Genomic DNA, 3,649 nt, shown 5'->3' with positions numbered 1-3,649 from the left:
GTGATCATGGTAAATCAAGCCAAAAATAACCACTTCATTACCATGTCTGACACAGAACAACAACAACAACAACAACAACAAAAATAACATGAACATTTTCTCTACAAAAGAATGGCTAAACATCCTGCTATATTAGTTAATATGGGTTATTGATGTTTTTTACCAATGACAACTTTGTCCTTATTTCATTTCTCTCACTAAATACATAAAATTTAGTAAATTATCCCATTATAAAATTGTCTCCAGATCCTCAAAGTATCCAATACAAATATCCTGCTTCCTTGAACCCTCCTGAAAATCAGGTAAGGCACTCAAATTCTGTAAGTTCTATGAGCTTCTTACTAAGACATCCTGGAGTTTTTCATGGTGTGTGTTTCTGCTTGCTGCAAGAATCAATAAACTCAATTTCTAAAATGCAGATGTCTTCATGGTGGCCTTTGGCTCAAAAGTATTGGCATCAGAAAAACAAAGACGGTTTAAGAGCCAAAAGTCAACCAGTGTAATTTAATGTTTAAAGGTAATTAAGGAGAAACATTATATGTTAACAAAGAAAAAATAATAATTTAATAAAATTCAACTACCATTCATGAAATATAAAGTCTCAGTAAATTTAATTTAGTCATACTTAATAAAGTAGGAAGGAAAAGCGAATTTCCTAATCTGCTAAAGTTCACATACAAAAAAATAAAATAAGCTACAGTGAACATACATAATGATGAAATGCCAAAAACTTTCTCTGAGTGAAGGACCAAGGAAGGAATGCCCATGAAAACTACTTTTAATACACATTGTATTTATGGTCCTATCCATGTGATAAGCCAAAACCTAAGTGAAAAGATTGGAAGGAAATACTGACAGATGACATGATAGTATAGGTGTTGTAGACAAATCAATTGTGTTTTTACACATAAACGAAAACAACTTAGAACTGATATTGAATATATATCACCGTAAATGTTATTAAAGTGCCCATAAAAACTAATAAAATATGTAATTTTTTTCTCCTGTATTTCTAAATACTAAAAATATTATTGCAAGAAATTAAAGAAAATAAAATAAATTATATACAGTTGATTCTTGAATGACATGGGTTTGAACTGAATTGGTCCACTTATACATAGATATTTTTTCAAAAAATACATTAGAAAAATTTTGGGGTATTTGCAACAATTTGAAAAAACTCTCAGATAAACCATATAGCTTAGAAATATCAAAAGAAGGAAAAATTATATCATGAATGAATAAAATATATGCCGATACTATTCTGTCACATGCTATCATAAAGTAAATATAAATCTATTACACAAAGTTAAAATTTATCAAAACTTTCCCACACAAACACTTACAGACCATACAGGGCACCATTCACAACAAAAATAAATGTAAACAAGTGTAAAGATGCAGTATTAAATCATAACTACATAAAATTAACTGTAGTACATAGTGTACTACTATAATTTCATAGTCAACACCTGTTGCTATTGCAGTGAGCTCAAGTGTTGCAAGTATTCGCTTAAAATGCCATATGACACTAATTATTTTTCTGTGAGCAATTCCTTTCTCTAGTAAATGGCGTATAGCAGCAAAAAGTGATCTCTTGTGGTTCTTGCATATTTTTTATAGTGTTTAGTGCAATACTATAAAACACAAATAACACCATGGAACCCATAGTGTCATTAGTGATGCATTACTACGCTGTGTTCCTGGATTAGATTGCTTTAATGTCTATTCTCCCCAAATTCAGATTGATTTGTAGATTATAGGTGATGGAATTTTTTTTCCCCTGAATCTGTCAATCCTGTTCAAAGTTTTACATGGAAATGCAAAGGATCAAGAATACCAAAGACACTACTGAAGAATATGAGGTAAAGAAGAACAAGATGCTGGGAGCTTTATTATAAATTCTAGTTATTTAGGCTTTGCTATTGGACCAAAGATAAGCAAACAGATAAATGACAGAATGGAGAGGGTAGAAGCTGACCAATGCATGTTTGAACATTTGATTAAGAATTCAGCATTGCAAAGAAGTGGAGAAAAGGCTTGTCTTTTCAATATCAATGCTAGGACCATTTGATGTCCACCTAGAAAAATTATATTAACCCCCTCCTTCCTATCACATACAAAAACAGTTCCAGATCTACTTACTGATCTAGTTGTGAGAGGAAAAACAGCAATCTTTTGTTAATTAGTGTAGAGAATATCACTAACTTGAGTTCCATAAAGAAATATTAATGAATTGAGTTATCAAAATTAATAACTCTTTGATGAGTTATTAATTTTCATCAAAGAGTAATTCAATAATTCATTTTATTAATATCTCTTTATTCTAACTTTAGAAAAGAGTGAAAAGTAAGTGGTCAAGTGGAAGCTTGTAATGCATTAAGCTAGATTAAGAACTGCAATCAATAAAATAGAAAGCCCAAAAGAAAAATAAACAAAAAATTTGAAGAGGTACTTTATAAAAAAGCATATTCATATAGTCAAAAAGACATGAAAAGTTGTTTAATACATTTGAATTTAAGAAAATAAAAAATAAAACTGAAAAAACAATGCCACTACACATTATACAAAAATTTCATCTAGAATGTTTACAATTAAAAAGGCCTTGGGTACCAAGTAGTGATGAAAATGTAAAGCAATTGAAATCCTTATACATTAGAGGCATTTGGGAGTATAAATTGGTACAACTACTTTAGGAAACCATTTACTGTTAACTCTAAAATTGAATGTATGCATAATCTGACACAGGAGTTCCACCTCTAGCTGTATTTCCAAGAGAAATACAGGCACAAGTGACAAAGAAATAGTACAAGTAAGTTTATTACAGAATTTTTCTATAATCATACCAAACTGACAAAAACTCAAATGCCCATCAAGAGTAGAATGGATAAATAAATTGCCATATATAAAGACAATGGAAAACTCAACAATGAAAATTGAACCAACTACAGCTGCATACAAGAACATGGATGATACTCCCAGATATTATATTAATTGAAAGAATGTAGACACAAATATAGATATTGTATCTTTCTATTAAAGTAAACTTCAATAAAACAGTCATAATTTAATGATAGCTTTATGAGATGAATATAGAGACTACTAGTATGTCTAAAACCTTCACAGGACCAATCAGGACTTCGTTAAATAATCTGTTATGATTTAATGCAATTTAAATGCAATTAACAAAGTTGTTATAAAAATAAACTTTTCTCTCAGTATTATCTCATGTAGATAGACTACAGTGAGAATTATTTCACTTGTTTTTAGTGAGTGAAAGTGGAAAGGAATTTCATATGTACTGGTCATGCTTTGCCAAATATATGTTATTGGAGTTTTTTTTACTGCTGTCAATTTTTATACATTAGCACATCGTCATTGCTATTTGCTTCATTTAATCAAAGGCAGTGATTATACTTTATTTCCTTCACCTGGTGGGAAATCAATCTAAACCATGAGTACAGAATTTAACTTGATTTTTTTAAAATGCAGAACAATCACATTAATATGCACAGAGGTATGACATTTATTTTGCAATCTCCAGGAAAATGTAGGTCACTTTTTGAATTATCAGTTACAAATATGGTACTCGGAGAAATAAAGCTAAATGTAGACTTAAAGTGTTTTTATTCCTTCAAGTTAAAAATTA

Source organism: Homo sapiens, chromosome 14 (assembly GCF_000001405.40).
Source record: "Homo sapiens chromosome 14, GRCh38.p14 Primary Assembly".
In the NCBI taxonomy this organism is placed as follows: domain Eukaryota; kingdom Metazoa; phylum Chordata; class Mammalia; order Primates; family Hominidae; genus Homo; species Homo sapiens.
This window is presented reverse-complemented; position numbering follows the sequence as displayed.